Below are 21,185 nucleotides of genomic sequence, written 5' to 3'. Positions count from 1 at the left end.
CTGAAATTAACATAAACTGTTTTTGTTTGTAGTCTGGTTTGCAATTAACACCCCTTAAGCAACAATTCAAAGAAAAAGCAGAAACCTAACAAGCAAGAACATGTTTGTATCTATTTCCTTATGCCAATATCTAACAGGAATAACATGATTTCTATTTCTTGGATAACTAAGCTCTACCCATATTTTGTTTGACAATTTGTAAGATGTTTCACTGATGACAAGGCAGATGGGTGCGGACAGACATTTGGTTAATACAGTCATAGTAGTAGTAGCATCTGAAAACTTCAGGTAGGTTACTTTACTGTCCTTGATATTTCAAATTTCTTGAATAGCAGGGAGGTACTGGAAAAAGCCACTAGTCCTCTGTGTAATGTTAGGCAAAAAGGAAAAGTCACTTCCTTTTTCAGAAATCCAAGTTTGTTTCTTTTCATTTGAAAAGTGTAGGAGTGTAAACATAATGATTCCTTCCAATTCTAAAATGTATATTCTAACCTAAAATGTCCTCACGAATGTTGTTTTCTTAAAGCCCTGGTGTTGCCAAAATTATTGTGCATGTTCTTTACTTTTAAAGAATATACTAAGGTAATCACACCTCCTCCCTTAAAAGCCACAAATAGCTGTGTAAAAACTACATTTCAAAATCTACAAAATTAACAATTTCCCCAAGATCATTTTCAAAGACACTTTTACAATTTTGTCCTTAATATAATGACACACTGCAAATCCTATTGATTTTGGTCTGTTCTTTCTAATAGATTAAAAAATTCTGAGCAATACATTTTATCAAAAACAGCCAATCATAGTTAACTGCTGCTCTGCGCTACTTTAAATTCACAATTAACCATGCAGTTAAAAGGGGAGCAAGTGATACATCAGAAAACATGCAAGTGCTCAAATTGCAAATAAACTGCAACTTACTATTGAACATAGAATTCAAAACAAAAGGCTTTGGCCATAACTGGAGACAAAAAAATGGTGGGAGGAAATCAGTATTTCAAAAGAAAACGGCAGGAACGATATCATTATAATTATGACACAAGTCTGCTTTTTTTTTTTTTTTTTTTTTTTTTTGAGACGGAGTCTCACTCTGTCACCAGGCTGGAGTGCAGTGGCACAATCTTGGCTCACTGCAACCTCCGACTCCCTGGTTCAGGCGATTCTCTTGCCCCAGCCTCCCGAGTAGCTGGGATTACAGGCACGCACCACCACGCCCAGATAGTTTTTGTATTTTTAGTAGAGACCGGGTTTCACCATGTTGGCCAGTATGGCCCTCGATCTTCTGAGCTCGTGATCCACCCGCCTTGGCCTCCCAAAGTGCTGGGATTACAGGCGTGAGCCACCGTGCCCGGCCGACAAGTGTGCATTTTAAAAACAATCACAAAATGCTGTCAGCTGAGTAGGCATCATTACTTAGTCAATTTGCTTCTTGGACTACTACAGTGTTCTAAAGGTGTTAATTCTAATTGGAAAGAACATTTCAAAATTTCACTTGCTATGGTGAGCCACAGTTACTGATGGAAGTACATGCTATCGTTTCAGTTGTCTTGGGGAAAAATAAACCATGACAAAGGAGGATAGGAGCGCTGGGACATTTGTGATAAATATTAGGCACTGATAACTAGTTTGTGATATACTGAAAGGAATCCCTAGTAAGATCTAGTCAAACTCAGCCTTAAATTAATAATAAATACACCAATAAAATCTTAAAGGTATCCTTAATTGAGGGAAGAAGCAACAACTATTCTTTTATTTTTAAAATTAATTAATTTATTAATTTAGAGACAGGGTCTTGCTCTGTCACCCAGACTGGAGGGCAGTGGTGTTATCACAGCTCACTGCAGCCTCAAACTACTGGGCTTGAGCAATCCTCCTGCCTCAGCCTCCTGAGTAGCTAGGACTATAGGCTCGAGCTACCAGGCTGGGCTAATTAAAAATTTTCTTTTGTACAGATGGGGTCTCCCTAAGCTGCCCAAGCTGACAAGTTCTCCCTAACTTGCCCAAGTTGGTCTTGAATGCCTGGCCTCAAGAGACCCTCCTGCCTCAGCCTACCAAAGTGCCGGAGTTACAGGTGTGAGCCACCACACCCAGCCAGCTATTTTTAACACGTATCTCAAATACACTGTCAATAAATACAGACTGAAAATGGCATAAGTCTAAAAAATCTAGACCTCACTTGCTAGCAGCCAATAGTGGTAGGCATTGAAGAACCATGTGCCATGTATACATTTTCCAGGCACTGAGTAGAGAACACCAAACTAAGTTCTGGGAGTGGGGTGGGGGGGTGAAAGAATTAAAAACTCAGCCCCTAACCTTGAAGAATATTTGATGAAACTAGAGAAGAAAACAAAAATGTTAAATGCCTCTTCCAATGGACTGAAAAGATATGCTTCAAACTTTTAATTATCAAAATTATCATCCTAGAGAGAATGGTTCAGTTAAATACCCCTACCACAAGAGTGGAAAACAACTTTTTAATGAGAAAGTTCAGCTCAGGAAGCTTCCGAGACTGTGAGTCAGGGTGTATTATTAAAATTTTGGAGCACACTGTTCACCACGGGAGAGAGAACACTTCAAAGATGTCACTTAGCACCTTGATAACTGCCCTTTAATGATGACATGAAAGGAGACTGTTCGCCTTATATAACTTATCACCTTAACATCTTATCATGTTATATCTTTGTTTCTGCAGTGCTCTTTTTCTCAATTCGTTTGTTAAGATATTCCAGCAGCTAAAAGAAGTACATTTAGTGGGCAGGATGACAGAAATGTTATAACAGTACTAATATGATATATTTAAGAACTTAACATAACAGTACTTAATACTATAACATCCCACTAGACGAGGGAACATCTACTACTTCTAATAATTGTGAATTTTCACATACTTACATAAACAAATTCGTCAAAACTTATTTTCCCATCTTTATTCCTGTCACCATCCAGCATGAGTTTCTGAATAATTTCTCTCACTTTATATCCTGGTAATGGCATATTAGCTTCCTTGAAGAGCTCATGAAGTTCATAGTCACAAATGAATCCGTTGCTGTTGAGATCTTTGTAAAAAAGGAGAGCAAGCAAAAAAGGAAAAAAAATTGAAAGACAGAAGTTAGAGTATTTCCCTTCATTTGAGGTTCAGTTCATAAGCTCACTTACATAAAATATTTTCTTATTGTGGGGAACATAAAGTTGTTTGAAAGGGAAATGGACATTTAAATGGAAAAAGCAAGGTTTTACATCATGTATCCTGTGATTTAAGCAATGTGTAAGTAGATTTACTTAAAAAGAGCATCCCTAAGTTCAAGGAAGCATAGTTGGCTAATACAATTATTATTAACTTGGCGCTAATAGGATTTTAAAAAAAGAACTAATAGATCGTAAACCTACAAAACACTTCCATGGTATAGAACAATTTCTACTGTAAGTATAGGAATTTTGTGTTTCTTATTCTTCCATTGCTCCAAAAAGAACTTATATGAACTTAATGCTGATTCTGTTTCAAAGTACACCTGAAATTAAGCAGTCATGTTCAGTGCCAATTATTTTAAGAGTTAATGTAAACAAACATTAATTCAAGACAAATATAGAGTTTATAAAAATAAATGCACTACTGAGGAAAGCAGATATTTAATATGACTCTATAAATAACCTTTTAATTTTTGTACTACTGAAGTTTCTCAGAGTATGTCTTGAAGTGCTGATTAAATGAATGATGTTTATTCTGAAGCTTTTAAAAATAGAAAAAAAAAACCTGATCAATGACCAAAAGTTAATTTATTGAGAAAAAGGCTAATGTCCTGAGGGTTGTAACCACTTGAGTATATATTTTCCTGTGAATAAAGTTTGATGTTCACAAGTAATTTCAAATATCTTCTGTTCCTTAGGTCTCACTGATTTTCATATGTAAACTTAATTATAATAGAAGGAAACAACCTGAACAGAGAAATGACTCAAGATGACCTTAGCGCATTTAAGAAAATGTATTGTGGCCGGGCACGGTGGCTCACGCCTGTAATCCCAGCACTTTGGGAGGCTGAGGCGGGTGGATCACCTGAGGCCAGGAGTTCGAGACCAGCCTGGCCAACATGGTGAAACCCCGTTTCTACTAAAAATACAAAAAATTAGCTGGGCGTGGTGGCGGGCACCCGTAATCTCAGCTACTCGGGAGGCTGAGGCAGCAGAATCGCTTGAACCTGGGAGGCGGAGGTTGCAGTGAGCCAAGATAGTACCAGTGCACTCCAGCCTGGGCAACAGAGTGAGACTCCGTCTCAAAAAAATATATAAAATAAAAAATAAAAAAATAAAGCAGGCTGGGCACAGTGACTCACGCCTGTAATCCCAGCACTTTGGGAGGCCGAGGCAGGCGGATCACTTGAGGTCAGGAGTTCGAGATCAGCCTGGCCCATATGGCAAAACCCCGTCTTCACTAAAAATACAAAAATTAGCTGGGTATGGTGGTGGGCGCCTATAGTCCCACCTACTCGGGAGGCTGAGGCAGGAGAATCACTTGAACCTGGGCCAAGATTGCACCAATGCACTGCAGCCTGGGTGACAGAGCAAGACTCCATCTCAAAAAAAAAAAAAAAAAAAAAAAAGAAAAGAAAAAAAAAAGAAAAAAGCATAAGGGGTTAGACTGGGGCTATCTTGCCCCCAGGGGACATTTTTGATTGCCATAACTGGAAGCACCTGGCATACAGTGCGTAGAGGCTGGGGATGCTTCTAAATATCTTACAATGGATATGACCCCTTCCTTGTATGTACAACACAAGAGTTATGCAGCTTAAAATGTCAATTGTGCTGAAGTTGAGTAACCCTGGGTTATAGAGATATTGGGGGGCAGGGATGGTGGTGGTGCTACTACTTAGACAGAATGGGTAAGGAAGGCCACTTTGATGAGGTTATATTTGAATGAAGACTTCCATGAGGTAAGGGAAGCAAATCATGTGGCTATCTGGGGCAAGAGATTTCGGGTAGAGAAAATAGCAAATGCAAAGTCAGTGATGCTGCAGTGTGTCTGGTGTGTTTCGGGAAAAGTAAAGATCCAATATGACTTGGGTAGAGTGAACAAGGGGGAAAATGAGAGATAAGGTCGGGGAGCTAGCTGATCTTATAAGCTCTGCTAGGCCAATGTATTCCATGGAATACACTGACATTTCTTTCTAAGTGTGATCTACGTGTAGTTCACATTGTCCAATTTTTGGTCAATTACTAAAATTGCAATTTGCAAGAATGCTCTGGGGGATTAAAAATTAAATTAAATTAAAATATTAAGTATACTGCATGGAACCATCTTGCAAATATTTTGAATGCTGATGAAATTCTGTTTAGTTTTAATGCAGTCTATTTTAAGTATTAAATTTTCTTAAACATTGATTACTACATTTTAAATCTATGAATTAAAACATCTGTACCTTTATTTTTACTTTTGTATTTCTTTGAGACAGGGTCTCTCTTGCCCAAGCTGGAGTGGCACGAGCATGGCTCACTGCAGCATCAACCTCCTGGGCTCAAGCAATCCTCCTGCCTCAGCTCCCCGGCATGGCTGGGGCCAAAGGTGGGCACCATCATGCCTGGCTAATTAAAATATCTGTACTTTTAAAACATCAATAACAAACCATTCAATACTTAGTGTGAAAATCACTTAGATTTCCTTTGAGGTAAAGCACTTAATTTCCCTAGGATGTATATTCACTTTCTTTGCTTTGGATTTATAAAAGGTCATACATCAAACTCTTTATTTCTACATGTAAAGTATTTCTATGTAGAAATCAATCCATCAATAATGTCTGCAGTTGCTAAAAAGAACAAAGTAATCCCCATGGCACTGAGGCAAAATTTTAGTGGCTCTTGTTTTATGAATGTCTTGGGCTTAAATACACCTGCTCCCATGCATATACCAACTTGTTTTTCCTACATCCTTTCTAAAATTACAGTGGAGTTCAGTACTAGAGAGTAAGTGTGGCATAGTGAAAGAAACACAGCATACATGCTTGAAGAGACACACAGTGGGAATAATGTGAAACAATGTCTTATCTCAACTTGGCTATTAATTTGCACAAGTTACCTCTTCAGGTCCTAGTTTTCTCATCTGTAAAAGGAGTGCTTTGGACCACATAATCTCTAAAGTTCCTTTTTGGTTCTATCACACTGATTCTAAATCAGAATACACAAGACTTCACAACCCTCCCCTCACACAAACACTTTTAAAACCTGGAGATAGAATAGTAACGCATATTAAATACAGATACAGAGTGATAACATTCTGATCACTACTGCACCTTATTACCTAAGTATAATATTCTTTCATTTTTATGATATCTTTGGAGGAAGAGATAGCTTATTCTTTTAACTATCAAAACGTTGTCCACTTCAGTGGGTTCTTTTTTTCTTTTAAGCTATTTTCTTTATTTTGAGACTAAGTCTCACTCTGTCACCCAGGCTGGAGTGCAGTGGCATGATCTTGGCTCACTACAACCTCCGCCTCCTGGGTTCAAGCGATTCTCCTGCCTCAGCCTCCTGAGTAGCTGGGATTACAGTGCCACCATGCCTGGCCAACTTCTGTATTTTTAGTAGAGATGGGGTTTCGTCATGTTGGCCAGGCTGGTCTTGAACTCCTGGCCTCAAGTGATCCTCCCACCTTGGCCTCCCAAAGTGGTAGGATTATAGGCATAAGTCACCAAGCTCAGCCAATTTTTTAATTTAAAAAAGTATCTTTAGAGACAGGGTCTCATTCTGTTGCCCAGGCTGGAGTACAGTGGCACAATCATAGCTCACTGCAGCCTTGAAATCCTGGGCTTAAGCAATCCTCCCACCTTAGCCTCCTGAGTAGCTGAGACTACAGGCTCTCACCACTATGCCCAGCTAACTTTTTGTTTCTTGTATTTTTTGTAGAGACAGGGTCTCACTATATTGACCAGGCTAATCTCAAACTCCTGGCCTCAAATGATCCTTCCACCTTGGCCTCCCAAAGTGTTGGGATTACAGGTATGAGCCACTGTGCTTTGACTCTAGTTTAGACTGGAGTATATAACAGGTATGTAACAGGATTTGTTCTTTTTGTATTCTCAGTGTTATAATGGAAGTGGAAGGTAGAGATGTTTTAAATTAGATGTGGGAGAACTACAGTGGATTCAAAGCTATATGAAACTGACTAAGGCCCAGAAAGTTTATCTGGCTGCCTATTTGTATTAGGTTAGACTACAGGTCTGGTGGCTGGGACTGGTGGCTCATGCCTGTAATCCCAGCGCTTTGGGAGGCCGAGGCAGGAGGATCAGTTGAGCCCAGGATTTCGAGGCTGCAGTGAGCTATGATGGCATCATGGCACTCTAGCCTGGGCACCAGAGTGAGACACTGTCTCAAAAGCAAAAACAAAAAACTCCAGAAGTTTGGGTCGCAGGGAGAAATTACTATTTGCCTGTATCCTCCCTGAAATAACCTCTCTTGAACATTAATTAGAAGACAGTTCACTGATGTGATTAAAAGATGCCAGGAAGTAGCCACCCTAAAACATAATTAACATAAAATAACCACATTTGGAAATTTCATTTTGAAGTAAGGGCAGTAGTAAGAAATGCTTTTAGAAAGGGACAGGAAAATTTTAAAGGAAATTGGAGGAATAAGAATTTGTCATTACATGACAAACTTCCTTATTAGGCTGCAAATCTCCCGATAAAGATTCTTTTAAATCTTTGTATCTCCCACCCCAATATGTAGCACAATCTTTTGTGTATAATAAGCAATGGAAAAAAATTATTTTTGTAGAATCACTGATTCTCAGGAATTGACCAAAGAAAGAATGCTCTAATCCTAGATGAGCATTTTAGAAACAAAACTAAACAACAATGACAGAAATACAGAAATAGCACTCAAAGACTGAATGGCAATTCATCGAGAAACCAAAACTTGACAGAAATATCCCTTAAATAACATTCAATCTCATTCCCTTTGTTCTAATCCTGTCCCTACCCAGCAGCCTTCAGATCTGTAATTTGGTTTTCTAAGTGAACACACCCATCAAGGAGGGCCCAAGTGGACCACCAGTGATAGCTCTCTGGTCAGGATCTCTTTTGTTCCAAATGTAGAAACCTGCTTTGGCTTTACTGAGAAAGGAGATGTGCACTTGTTTAGGTATGAGTCACCCTCCAGAGCAAACTGAGTACCTACCCTGTGGGAAGACACCCACTGGGCTACATACCAAAGATACAGAAATGAATCAAACGGAACCCCTGGGTCTTACTTGAAACTGTGGCTACAAAATCCTTGTAAAAATTTTGAGTCACTTCGAATACATATCCTTAGGCTTTCCTGGATGACAAGAATGTGCGTCGTCTTCTAAAAGTTTTACCTATTCTGCCATTTTCCCATAGTTTAGCCCCCAGTGTTAGTCCAAATTACACTACCTCCCATGATCAAAGGCATTTTAGTGTTAGTTAGAGTCAATTTTATCAAGCCTTTCTTAGAGCTCTTAAATCATATATTTTGAAGAAAATAATTTCAATTTAAACAAGAAGGCAGAGGGAGCCTAAAAATGCAGCTAGCAATTAATTTTACAAAACCTCCCAGCTGGTAAAGTACTTGAGAGACAAAATAGCATGCAATTATTCTTAAAGAGTTTTATGCTAATTTTATTTCGAACCCTCAGTCAAAAAACCAAAAACACATCCTTAAACAATATCAAAGATCTAACGTGGTTTGGAAGGCCAGTAAAAAGGTAGCATAATGGGATTTTAGAAAGCTTCCATCTCATCAGGTGCTCACAACTTTTAGTCTACTTCTAAGACTAACTTGTAATTTTAAAAAATAAACATAAATGCTGATGACTATTCAATCTAATTTTCTACATCGGAGAAAAGTAGTTTCGTTTTACAAACTGGCTAAATGATAGTCTTTGAGTCATGTTTTCCTTATGTGTAAAATAAAATAGCTGAGGTACCTGAATGATTTCCAAATAACCCAAAATGAATTTTGGATAATTTTTTGTTATTCAAAAGCAAAATGAGAATAAGAATAATGTGGCAAGGTTTTTCAAAAAGACAATTTAATTTTTTGAAATCATAAGACTATGTCCTTATTTGTGGTTACAGTGTCCACTTTAAAAACAGAGCATTGGAATTAGAATGTTGCTGTTCAGTATGTTTGATGGTGAATTTCTCCTATTCTGAGTTTTGACATAAACATGAGAACTTAATAATAAACTGACCCAAAATAACATACCTAGATTGGAAGTCGTTTTAACAACTGGAAACTAAAATCACAACCACCAGGAATGATGGCAGTCCTTTATTTTCTCATTCATGCTGCCAATACTCTGCAACACCTTTTTGGCTCACTTGCCATTTTCTCATTAACTATACATTGGTATGGAGTGGGAAAAGCTCTGTGTTTTGAAGACTCTTCTGTTTCAGCATCATAGTTTCCAACCAGCTGATAAAGCAGACATAAATTACCATACTGCCTATATTGTGCAGTGCAGTTTCAATGCCAGCACTTCTCAACCTTTTGGTTTAGAAAATATGGTCAGTATGGCTGGACATTAAGGAGAAGCTGGATAAAGGAAACTCTACCTTATCACTGAACACAATTCTGGCAGAAAGTAAAGGGCTAAATTTGAGTAAATTGACAAAGCGTTTTTTTTTAAAAGAAGAAAATTATGATACTTAAAAAAAAATCACTACGCAGCTCCCAGTGCTGCACCAGACAGGCCCATTTTTCATATTGGCCACTGACTGAATTCATAAGAAAAGAATCAACTGTTAAAAGGACTGTTTCCTTTCTCTCTCTCTCTCTCTCTCTCTCTCTCTCTCTCTCTCTCTCTGATGACACGTGTAGGTTCACATCTGCATTTTGTTTTAAAGGAAATCTCATTATTCTCTTTTACCAAGTATTATTTTAAATACTATTTAACTCCCCCGCCGCCCTCCCCTAAGTAAACCTTAAAGTAAATAAACTTATTACACAGCCATGTTCCTGCAGAAGTTTGAATCACACCAAGAATGCATATCCTTAAAAGGAAATGTTTTCCCTCCCCTTGCATCCTGTTATTTAAGCTATTTTAAGTACTTGTCTGGAGAAAGCTAAGCCAGAATCCAAGTGGTTTTGATTTTAGCTGCTGTTTTACACTGCCCATGTCCAGGTGGTACGTGCTGCAATCTATCACTTCAAAAGCGTCTTTTGGGGTGCTACTTTGTCTCATAAATTTGACAGTAAGAAAGACTAGGATTTTCTTTGACGCTCGGGTTGTGTGTGTATGCGTGTGTGTGTGTGTGTGTTGCTTTAAACATCCTTGAATCTGTCTAAATCTGGTGTCTTTCTTTATGAAGAGGTCACATATTGTGTGCCCTCATCTGGAATACACATGCGACCTCTCTATTAGCCCACTCAGGACAGTGCTCATTAGGACTTAAAGAAGAAAGCCTAGCAAGTGCAGATGCATATCCTTTTGGAAAAGCTGGATTTAAAAGTTCAATTTGGTTTGACCAACATATTCTACAAATTTTCTGCACTAAAGAAATGACAAAAGGAATCTATTTATCTAACAATAATGGGTTTACACACATACACAATCCTGAATGCCCATGAAAGCTCACAAAATACTGACTTAAAAGACTCGGTCAAAAGACTTGGGCAGAAGAATTTAAACTATATTCCATCCCAAGATCTAAGCAGTGAAATCAAGCTTTCATTAGGCATTAAATCCTTAGAAAAGGCAGCTGCTAAACATCTCCAGATGCTTAGCTAAACATGGGGTTTGCTTCTCACAGCTTATACCTTTTGAGGTAGCTCACTGCAGCAAATATAAGAGGCAGTTTAATGAGTTCCAGCTAAGGGTAGACTGGAGGTTGCTGCTTTAGAATTCACTGTACTAGTGGATTTCCAAAGATGGAGGTCAAGTACAGCAGAAGGCTGGACAAGTTTAGAGGGTGAGACCAGGCAATCAAAAATGTTTATCAGTCCTTTTCTGACTCAAAATTTCCAGCAGTTTGGCCATCATTTTTCCCCTGCTGCAACTCTCGTTTTAAAAATACATGTGTGTAGGCCAGGCGCGGTGGCTCACGTCTGTAATCCCAGCACTTTGGGAGGCCGAGACGGGCGGATCACGAGGTCAGGAGATCGAGACCATCCTGGCTAACACGGTGAAACTCCGTCTCCACTAAAAATACAAAAAAAAAAATTAGCCGGGCGTGGTGGCAGGCGCCTGTAGTCTGCCACCTGGCTGAGGCAGGAGAATGGCGTGAACCCGGGAGGCGGAGCTTGCAGTGGCCGAGATCGCGCCACTGCACTCCAGCCTGGGTGACAGAGCGAGACTCCGTCTCAAAAAAAATAAATAAACAAAAAATAATTAAAAATAAAAATAAAAAAATAAAAAAATTCAAAGCAGGCTTCACTTAAAAAAATAAGATTTTCTCTTTACATTTAAAATATATCCCACTACATAAAATCCATTTACAGTTGGCTTGCTGATTTTCAGGAACGCATCTAGTGCATGAAGCAAAATATACCTGGCTGGCCAGGTACCATGGCTCAAGCCTGTAATCCCAGCATTTTAGGAGGCCGAGGTGGGAGGATCACTTGAGCCCAGGAGTCTCAAAATAAAAATAAAAATAAAAATAAAAATTGCTTTTACCCATGCACCCACACATGTGTACTCCTAACTAGCTTCCACACCTTTGAAACATGGTTTTCCGACTATCCCGAGACCTCCACTTCTAATAATCCATATATAATTAACCAGATGGCACAATGAAAGAGCACTGATTAGTTTCATTTTTTTTAGACGGGCTATAGTTTTGTTTTTGTTTTAAGGCATAATTAAACAAATATGCACTGGTGTTCTTTTATTGAATACTGAAAGTAAATTAAACTAAAGCACTGTTTTTTTTTGTGGCATCATCCTGATGTGGTTTTTATATACTAGCGAATATCAAGTAATTTGAAACAACTCAACTTCCTAGGATGAGAGAAGTCTGGTATAGCTACAATCACCACAACCAATTTTTTTTTGCTTAGTTTGGTGGGAAACCTCAAAGGAATACACCCATACTATTCCTAGTCATTTAAGAAACCCATTATTCTTTTATTTCAAAAGTGCTGAATTCATGTTTAAAAAACCTCAGTAGTGAGTGCTCAGGAGGGAAAAAAGGCAAGGCAAGGTAAGTGTTTGCAGTACTAAAGCAACTCTGCAAAGGTTTACATTACATGAATTTTTCTTTATGACAAGTAATCATCCAAATGACCACTAGTTTCCATAGCAAGATTAAAGGCTTAGAATGTAAAAGACAGTTTCTAGATGGTAAAATATTAATACCTAAGTGTTTTGAAAGGTTTTATTTATTCTTCTTTAGAAATAGTTATGTATTACAGCATTTAAATTAAATTTGAAACATCATGAAGTACAAAAACTGATAACTAACGTTTCTGCTACTGGGAAGCACTGGAAACAATTGTTGAGAAAATTAAAATAATTACATGAGCTTGGAGCTTAAAACTAAGCAGGTGCAGAAAGTGAGTGAAAAGAGAACTTTAAATTCTAATACTCAATTTATTGCTAGTAAAGAGAGTTTCAAAGCACTATTAATTGATTGAACAAAACCTATGATTAGCAGTAATTACAGAGATTTTCTCCACACGCTATGATTTTGCTGAATTTCTAAGGAGATAATCAAGGCTATTATTGTTAATAGATGGGGAAAATCATCTAATGATTTCCATATTTTGTCGCAATTGAACTGAGACAAAGTAGTCTTTCCTATTCTCTGCCAACCCACCCCCACAAAAAGGAAAAACTGTCCTTCACAGGATAATAAGTTATAGAGCTTGTTTTTAAAATAAAGTGTCCCTGAATTAGAAAAAAAATTCTATAACACCTTTGACGGTTGCCTGAGGGTTCTGTAAGTAACAACAACTTAAAACTACAAAGATTTTTTAAAGAAAATCGAAAGACTCGGCTGGGTCCTTAAATGAGTTTCTAAAAGATGGAGTGTACACACAAGCTTTTATTATGCTGAAAAATATATATAAATTTTATATGCTACAATTTAATGGCAAAAACCTTTAATAATAAATTCCACTGTAATGAAAATCTTCACAACAAAGGCCCTCTGAATGTATGGTTGATAATGACAAAAATCCCAGTACATCAAAAGGCTATGTATATAGTTCCTTGGGTTTCAATCAATGAAATATTTACTGAGAACCTAACATGTGTGCAACACTATGCTAGATACTGAGTGGAGACTACAAAAGAATAATATTCACAATAGGCAGAAATTCTGGATTCCAGAATTCTTTACAGCATATATAGTAATAAGAGCCTGAGTATGTTAGGAACATATGCCTGGCAGGGGCTTTGGCAAACTGTACGCCTATCTTAAACTCTACTTAAACAATAGCTCCACAATGACCTTTTCTTGCAGTCAAACTTCTCATTGATCCCTTACTTAATACAATTTAACTCCTTCCTCTATGAAGATAATTGGTCAATCCTCTTTATGTCATTAAGCTTTTAAGGGACAATGAAGTTCTTTTACTCGTCAAATGTATTCCAAGTCTCATCAGGTAAACAATATCTGAATTAACTTTAATTTTTAAGGAATATTGCACGTAATTATTTCCAAGATGCTGCACATGAGGACAAGACCTGTATTCAGCATTTACTTGAGGAGATGAGTACTTAATAAGGCATGGTGCCTACTCTGAAATTCTATTCATAAATAACAAATTAAGCTGCTGCTAATGCTGAAAGATGAATATTAATTTTAAAAAAGGTTCAAAAATGCACTCCTAAAACAATTATAAGACTATTTTGACTGAATGAGAGTCATTTTGAAAAAAAAAAACTCTTGCAGCCAAGAATTCACTTGCTGTTATATATTAAACTATGTAGCATTTTTCTTACAGTAAGTGGTATCCATGGCAAGGTAATTAACTGCTATTTTTATACACACACACACACGCGCGTGCGCGCGATCATGTTAGATTCAGGAATATTCAGTTTTTTCTAGTTAAAATTTTGATGGGATTATGAATGGTCACTCTGGCTGGGGTCATTATTCTTCCCAAGGTACACTGCTACTACTGAATGCCTTCATAGAAAATGTTGATCATAAATATATGGGAACAGAAATGTATATTTCCTCATTTTCCACTAATGGGATTTTCGACACAGGTCTAACGGCAAATTCTGATTTACATAACAAATCATCATATGAGCTAATTCTGTACCCTTCAGTCAAGGAGATACCAAATAATAATAATCTACCTCTCTAAGCACATGTTGATTCATGTATTTACATAAGTAGGCTGTTCTCACCCTGTTTTCTCATTATTGTCTATAGACTTGACCCAAGCACTAAAATTTGGAATGTAAATACTCCATATTTACCTTCCATAGCTGCTCAATTGTAAGGCATGTTATATGATGATAAAGGATAAATCAAATAGCATGCTATGCCTTCTCATCTTATACTGAAGCTATAATTTAACGTGGCGAGGTAGAACGATCTGCAGTAACCAAAGGCACAGAAAACCCATAAAAAAGTCAATAACGCCAAACTAATTAAGGAAGGGTAAAACATCATCTAATGTTTTCGAGGGTCACATATCCCTTTGAGAATATGGTGAAAGTTTCAAACCTCTTCAGAAAGATATGAGATACAAAATATAATAATAACTAAAATTTGGCATGAAAATTTCAGGAACCATACATAACAGTCACCAGTTAAGGATTGGAACTGTGGTCTAAAAAATTTGACCATATTAAATACTACATAAAATTGGAAATAATATCAGCTACCACTCGACCAAAAAAAAAAAAAAGAAATAAAACAATTTTAAGTATAGCTTCCAAAACTTTATCCCATCTATTTTAACTATCTTGCCCTAATGTTTTTGATTAACCATTCATGTGATATTTATAGAGAAATAACTTTGAGACCAAATAAATATTGCTTCCCTATAGTTTTACTACAAAAAATACTCACCAACTTTTGCAAAGGCCTCTTTGAGTTCATCAAGCTCATCTTTGGAAATCTGAGTGGTAGCCATCTCATCCATTTAAAGATCTAAAGAAAAACCAAAAACGTTTCAGACTTTAAAAAATTGTGATAAATATAAGCACTCTTGCTAAGTTCTCATCTTAGGGATAATTTAAACAGAATTTCAAACTATCAAAACAATCTGAATAGGTTACCATGTCTCTACATACAGCTTTAATAAAGAAAACAAATGAGAAGTCATCACTTACCAAAATTTATTGAGAAAAAATATTTCTGAATTTTCCTTCTAAGGACAAAATCTTAAATTACATTCAAAAAGTTTAAGGAAGGGCCAAAGTACCCAGCAGTGACAGGAAAAAGCTACATAATAGAAATTCTTGGTTATATGAGCCAAAGCTAAAGGTCAATATTATGTGACCAATGATTCACGGAAAGTATCATTTTCCCATTAAGCCACTTTAGAATCATTCACTGTGAAGACATTGATTTTCAAATAGCATACTGACATCTATCAATCACTCTCATTAAAGGAAGAATAAAGAGGAAACAAAACAAATTATAGCTGGTTTTGATATAAAAATGCACATGTGTGCTAATATACACATTCTTATGCATGTAAATTATTATATTATCTGAGTATACACCCTTTCCAATTTGGCCTTATTGATCTATTTAACTAACAGAACAAAGGTTGGCAAACTACATATGGCCTGTGGGCCAAAACTGGATCACCAGTTGTTTTTGTATGACCTCAAGCTGGATATGGTTATTAAAGGAAAATTTTTGCAGTCCATTTTGATGATGGGGGCACATTAACTTTGAACCCAATTAAGTGAAATGTTATCCCAGAAAAAAAGAATTCTATTCTTATCAGAATTGTATTACCAAAAAATTGTACTCAATTATTATATTTTGAATTTTGTCAATAAAAACTGATAGAAATAATATATTATATCCTTGATATTAATATCATAATATTCTTGATTTTACCTCTTGGCACACAATATTTATGATCTGAACCTATATGGAAAAACTTTGCTGATCCTGGCAATAAAGAGAGGAGGTCTGTATCACAGTAGATAATTTCCAAATGCAAACCTATTATAACAATAATTTTGGACAAAGAAAAATGAAAATGATTACATGTTCCTTTCTCCTTTTTTGTTTTGGGTTTTTTCTCTCTTCTGATTTATTTTTTTGGTAGACTTTATTTTTCTTTATTTCTTTCTCTTTTTTTGTAAAGACAGAGTCTTGCCACCTTGCCCAAGCTGGTGTCTAACTCCTGGGATCAAGGGATCCTCCCGCCTCGGTCTCCCAAAATGCTGGGATTACAGGTGTGAGCCACCGTACCCGGCCAATAGACATTATTATTAGAGTAGTTTTAGGTTCACAGCAAAATCAAGCAGAAGTTACAGAGAGTTCCCAAATACAGCCAAGTGTTGCTTAAAGACAGAGATGTGTTCTGAGAAATGCATTGTCAAGTGATTTTGCCATTGTGCAAGCATCAAAGAGTGCACGTACACAAACCTAGATGGTATAGCTTACTACACACCTAGACTATACGGTATGGCCTATTCCTCTTAGGCTACAAATGGCACAGCAGGTTACTGTAGTAAACACTGTAGGCAATTGTAATGCAATGGTATCCGTATATCTAAACATAGAAAAGGTACAGTAAGAATATAGTATTATAATCTTATGCGACTACTATCATACATTCGATCAGTCATTGACCAAAATATCCTGTACCTGAGTGGTACGTTTGTTACAACTGATGAACTTACATCATTACCACCCTAAGACTCTGGTGAACATTAGGGTTCACTCTTAGTGTTGTATAATCTGTGGGTTTGGACAAATGTATAATGACATGTATCCACCATTAACATATTACATAGAGTAGTTCCACTGCCCTAAAGATGTTGCCTTTCCAAAAAAATATACTACGGGTTAAATTTCACAAACTATACAAAATACATTTTGAGATCTTACATTTATCCCTTTTAGACATTTTATTAAAAGGCAACAAATTACTCACCAACTTATGTTTTGGCCAAGAAGTGTAACACTCAGTATAGAGAGGTAGGGGCTGGAAGTGGTAGGGAGGGATTCATAAGAGAGCTGGGCTACATCTATCTTTTTCACAGAATTGTTGCTATTTCTAGAATTTATCACAGCCCCTGGCACATAGTAAGGCACTCAATAAAACAGAACTTTAATAAAATTAATCCCTTCAACAACTATGCACCAAGTATTATTAATACATTATACAAATTCATTTGCATATTAATTTCCTAAACCCTCACAATAGTCCTATGAGCTAAATATTCTAATCTCCTTTTTTTCCTATTAGAAGACCTGGGCTCTCAGGACTGGAATTCACACTCAGGTTTCTCAAATCCTGGAGAAGTTTTAAAATGACCATATGATGCTATTAGCTAAGTTTTTACCATAATGTAACAGACACATACAGTGACTGGTGTTTTAAAAATTAAATAAAACCATCAGCCAGGCGCACTGGCTCACGCCTGTAATCCCAGCACTTTGGGAGGTGGAGGCGGGTGGATTGCTTGAGGTCAGGAGTTCGAGGCCAGTCTCACCAACATGGTGAAACCCTGTCTCTACTAAAAATACAAAAAGTAACCAAGTGTGATGGCGGGTGCCTGTAATCCCGGCTACTCGGGAGGTTGAGTGAGGCAGGAGAATCGCTTGAACCTGGGAGGTAGAGGTTGCAGTGAGCGGAGATCGTACCACTGCACTCCAGCCTGGGTGATAGAGTGAGACTCTGTCTCAAAAAAAAAAAAAAAAATTAAATAACACTAGACTCTTTAAAAAAGATATAAAACAAAGCTGGCCTATTCATAAACTTTTCTTATGTATGATATCAAGATGCCACTAAAGATGGATAACTTCTCAGTAGACAGGTTGGATGAAAATACCTTTCAGAGTAATCTCAGGATCTATGAGGGAAAGAAAGTTCTTCAGTTAGTAATGAAGTTAGGCTTTGTGGGTTTTTTTTTTGTTGTTGTTGTTGTTGTTTGTTTATTGAGACAGGGTCTTACACTGTAGCCCAGACTGGAGTGCAGTGGTGAGATCACGGCTTACTGCGACCTTGACTTCCCAGGCTCCTCCCTCCCAGGTGATTCTCCCTCCTCAGCTTCCCAAGTAGCTCAGACTATAGCCGTGGGACACCATGCCTGGCTAATTTTTGTATTTTTTGTAGAGATGGGGTTTCACCATTTTGCCCTGGCTGATCTTGAATTCCTGGCTTCAAGCAATCCACTCACCTCAGCCTCCCAAAGTGCTGGTATTACAGGTATGAGCCACCACGCCCAGGCCTGAAGTTAGGCATTTTAAAGATTAAGAATAAAAAGAACTGCAATCCCAGCACTGCGGGAGGATTGCTTGAGGCCAAGAGTTCAAGACAAGCCTGGGAAACATAGTGAGACCTCGCCTCCAAAAAAATTTTTTTTTAAAATTCGTAAGTTAAATGCAAACGAATAGTAGTAATTCTAAAAATATTCTGTTTCACTAATATGTTCAACACTCCCCATTACAAAAATACGACATAGGATTTATTCCAATTTTCTTCACCCCTTTTAAGCAATCATGTTTTTAATAAAGAATTATTACACATCTCCATGAATCACACACCAAGGAGAACAATGGCACAGAAAATTTAAAAGTAAGACCATCTCAGAAATCTAAAACATGTGGCCTCTCTCCTTTATCTCTAAAGGTCCTTTCCAGTTTGGGCAGATAGTGAGTCAGTAATAATTTAAAGTATGTGGGTAAAAAACAACTAAAACAAACCTATACAACTGAGCTTACTCTCACACTACCATATCACTTCTATGCAAAAGAAAATTAGGTCTGGGTGCAGTGGCTCATGCCTGTAATCCCAGCACTTTGGGAGGCCAAAGCGGGCAGATCACTTGAGCCCAGGAGTTCGAGACCAGCCTGGCCAACGTGGTGAAACCCTGTCTCTACCAAAAATGCAAAACTTATCCAGGAGTGGTGGTGCGTGCCTGTAATCCCAGCTACTCTGGAGGTTGAAGTGGGAGAATCACTTGAGCCTGAGAGGTCGAGGCTGCAGTGAGCCATCAGTGCATCACTGCAAAAAAAAAAAAAAAAAAAAAAAAAGAAAAGAAAAGAAAAAAGAAAGAAAAAAAAAAGAAATTAGATAAGATGGTTCTGGACATAAACCATTCCTGCCCCCCGCCCCCCTTATCCCTGCTGACCAGTTGGGTTCTGATTAAATCCTGTAGAAATCTCTTTCTCCCCAACCTGCCCCTCCCCGCTACTTCTCAAACAATTTTACCAATATTTTAGACATCTGCTATACACCTAGTTCTTGCCCTCAAGGAATTTACAATCTGCGAAGCAAACATGAATAATTACAATATGACATAAAGTGAATTAGTGACTGCAATAAAAGGTACAAATATCCATTTTTTTAGAAGAAAAAAGTCTCTAGAGACTTTAAGGATTATTAATTTCTTCTCAGAGTGGCCAGAAACGCAGTTCTTTTTTTCTTCCTATAAAATTAGCAAGTGCTGGCTCATGCCTGTAATCCCAGCAATTTGGGAGGTGGAGGTGGGCAGATCGCTTGAGCTCAGGAGTTCGAGACCAGCCTGGGCAACATGGTGAAACCTCGTCTCTACCAAAAATACAAAAAATTAACTGGGCATCGTGGGTGGTGGCACATGCCTGTAGTCTCAGATACTTGGGAAACTGAGGTGGGAGGACCGATTGAGCCCGAGAGGTAGAGGATGCAGTGAGCCATGAGAACGTCACTGCACTCCAGGATGGGTGACAGAGCAAGACCCTGTCTCAATAAAAAAAGTAAAAAATAAAAATGAATTAAGAAATGCTTAGATCTCATAGAAATAATTTTAGGGCACCAGTTTAGTCCAAAAATTAATCCAGTGCATTAAACATATATTTTAAAATTTTCAAGTTTCTTATTTCTAATTGCCTTTTAAAAAGCCTAAAGTGACTTTGCATATGTAACTCAGATTTCCCATCTATCAGAGACATTAAAGAGATACACTTCAATGAGAACAAAAAGAAGGAATTGGAACATGCACATATCCTTAAAACCGTATTTCCAGACAAGGTTGTTTCAGGATAACAGAATAGTTTAATGCAGGACTTTCCAATTTAAATAAACCCATATTCATTTATTGACAGTTATTTGAAAGGAAATAAAGAAATGCTACTCTGAAGTACCTGGGCCAAGACTAAAAAATATAAAGCCAAATTTAAAAAGCTCACAATATATGCTCTAGCTGATACAATTGTACATTTTGCCATTTGAAGCTTAAAATAAAGTTGTTTAATGTAGATTTCTTTATGCCACTATGAATTAAAAAATGGTCTGTCCTTAAGACTACTCATAGGTACTTGATGGTGTCTTTAAGGAAGTCAAGCAGTAAAGTACTATCTTGAGAGAAAACATCACATTAAGTAACTTGGAAATGAGTGAAGATATTAAAAAATAAAGATCTTACAAATTAAAATAACAGAAGCTCTATTCCTCTTCATGGGGCATTCATTGTACTATAGGACTTTTTTCCCTTAAAGTTACTAAAACATCCCGGATGGGTTCACAAAGCAAAACACAAGATTTGACATCAATACTGCCCTGTAGACACTTCATTTAATCTCAAGTACCAGTACACCAAGCTGTTGTACCGCGCCCAAGGTTGTAGTATGTTTTAACAGAAAGATGTTGGACGTGAAATTAGAAGGCATCGATTATTGCTCTGGTTCTGCTATTCCCTAGTAATGTGTCCATGAGCAAGTTTAATTAATCTGTCTCAGCCTAAGTTTCCTCATTTGAAAATAGTGATAATAATACCTACTTCCCCCAGGTCCTAATGAAGATTACAGATGGTATGTATGACAGCATATTGTGAACTATGAAGTATTACATAGCAACTTCAAATCCTTCATGAAAGAAAATAGGGAATAAATGAATGCTTGGGTTAATTGTGAAGAGCTGTATAAATAAATATAAGGCATTAGTTCTACTAATAGCCTTTTACATGGGATAAATGAAAAGTTATCTCATCTCCCTATAATTACTGACTACAGAGTATAATAGGTCTCCCTCATATATAAAAATTACAAGTCTTTAGTCAAAGTAATTTAAGAAGGATGGGCCTAAAGGAAAACCTGTCAGTCACTTTT

General features: G+C 37.2%; 1 protein-coding gene across 11 annotated transcripts in view, besides 1 other annotated feature; it reads right to left on the bottom strand.

The window, feature by feature from the left end:
* PLS3 (plastin 3) overlaps nt 1–21,185 on the bottom strand; it is an 89,688-nt gene that overhangs the window by 25,563 nt on the left and 42,940 nt on the right. For 5 of the 11 annotated variants that reach the window (NM_005032.7, XM_047442172.1, XM_047442171.1 and 2 more), the window contains 2 exons: nt 14,976–15,056; nt 2,890–3,053 (listed from right to left, as the gene is read on the bottom strand). In NM_005032.7, coding sequence (NP_005023.2) covers nt 2,890–3,053; nt 14,976–15,048 — 237 coding nt within the window. In that variant the 5' untranslated portion in view covers nt 15,049–15,056. Of the gene's footprint in view, nt 1–2,889; nt 3,054–10,764; nt 11,147–14,377; nt 14,497–14,975; nt 15,057–16,542; nt 16,645–17,929; nt 17,951–21,185 lie in introns of all 11 variants that reach the window. The other 6 variants (XM_047442168.1, NM_001440792.1, XM_047442169.1 and 3 more) reach the window with 5 other exon arrangements.
* Nucleotides 3,618–4,118: an enhancer, noted in NCBI's record as "H3K4me1 hESC enhancer chrX:114855493-114855993 (GRCh37/hg19 assembly coordinates)". NCBI's record gives its function as "activates a minimal SCP1, AML or CMV promoter by ChIP-STARR-seq in naive H9 embryonic stem cells {active_cell/tissue: H9 hESC(naive)}" and the evidence as "EXISTENCE:reporter gene assay evidence [ECO:0000049][PMID:30033119]".

Source organism: Homo sapiens, chromosome X, assembly GCF_000001405.40.
Source record: "Homo sapiens chromosome X, GRCh38.p14 Primary Assembly".
In the NCBI taxonomy this organism is placed as follows: Eukaryota; Metazoa; Chordata; class Mammalia; order Primates; family Hominidae; genus Homo; species Homo sapiens.
This window is presented reverse-complemented; position numbering and strand designations above follow the sequence as displayed.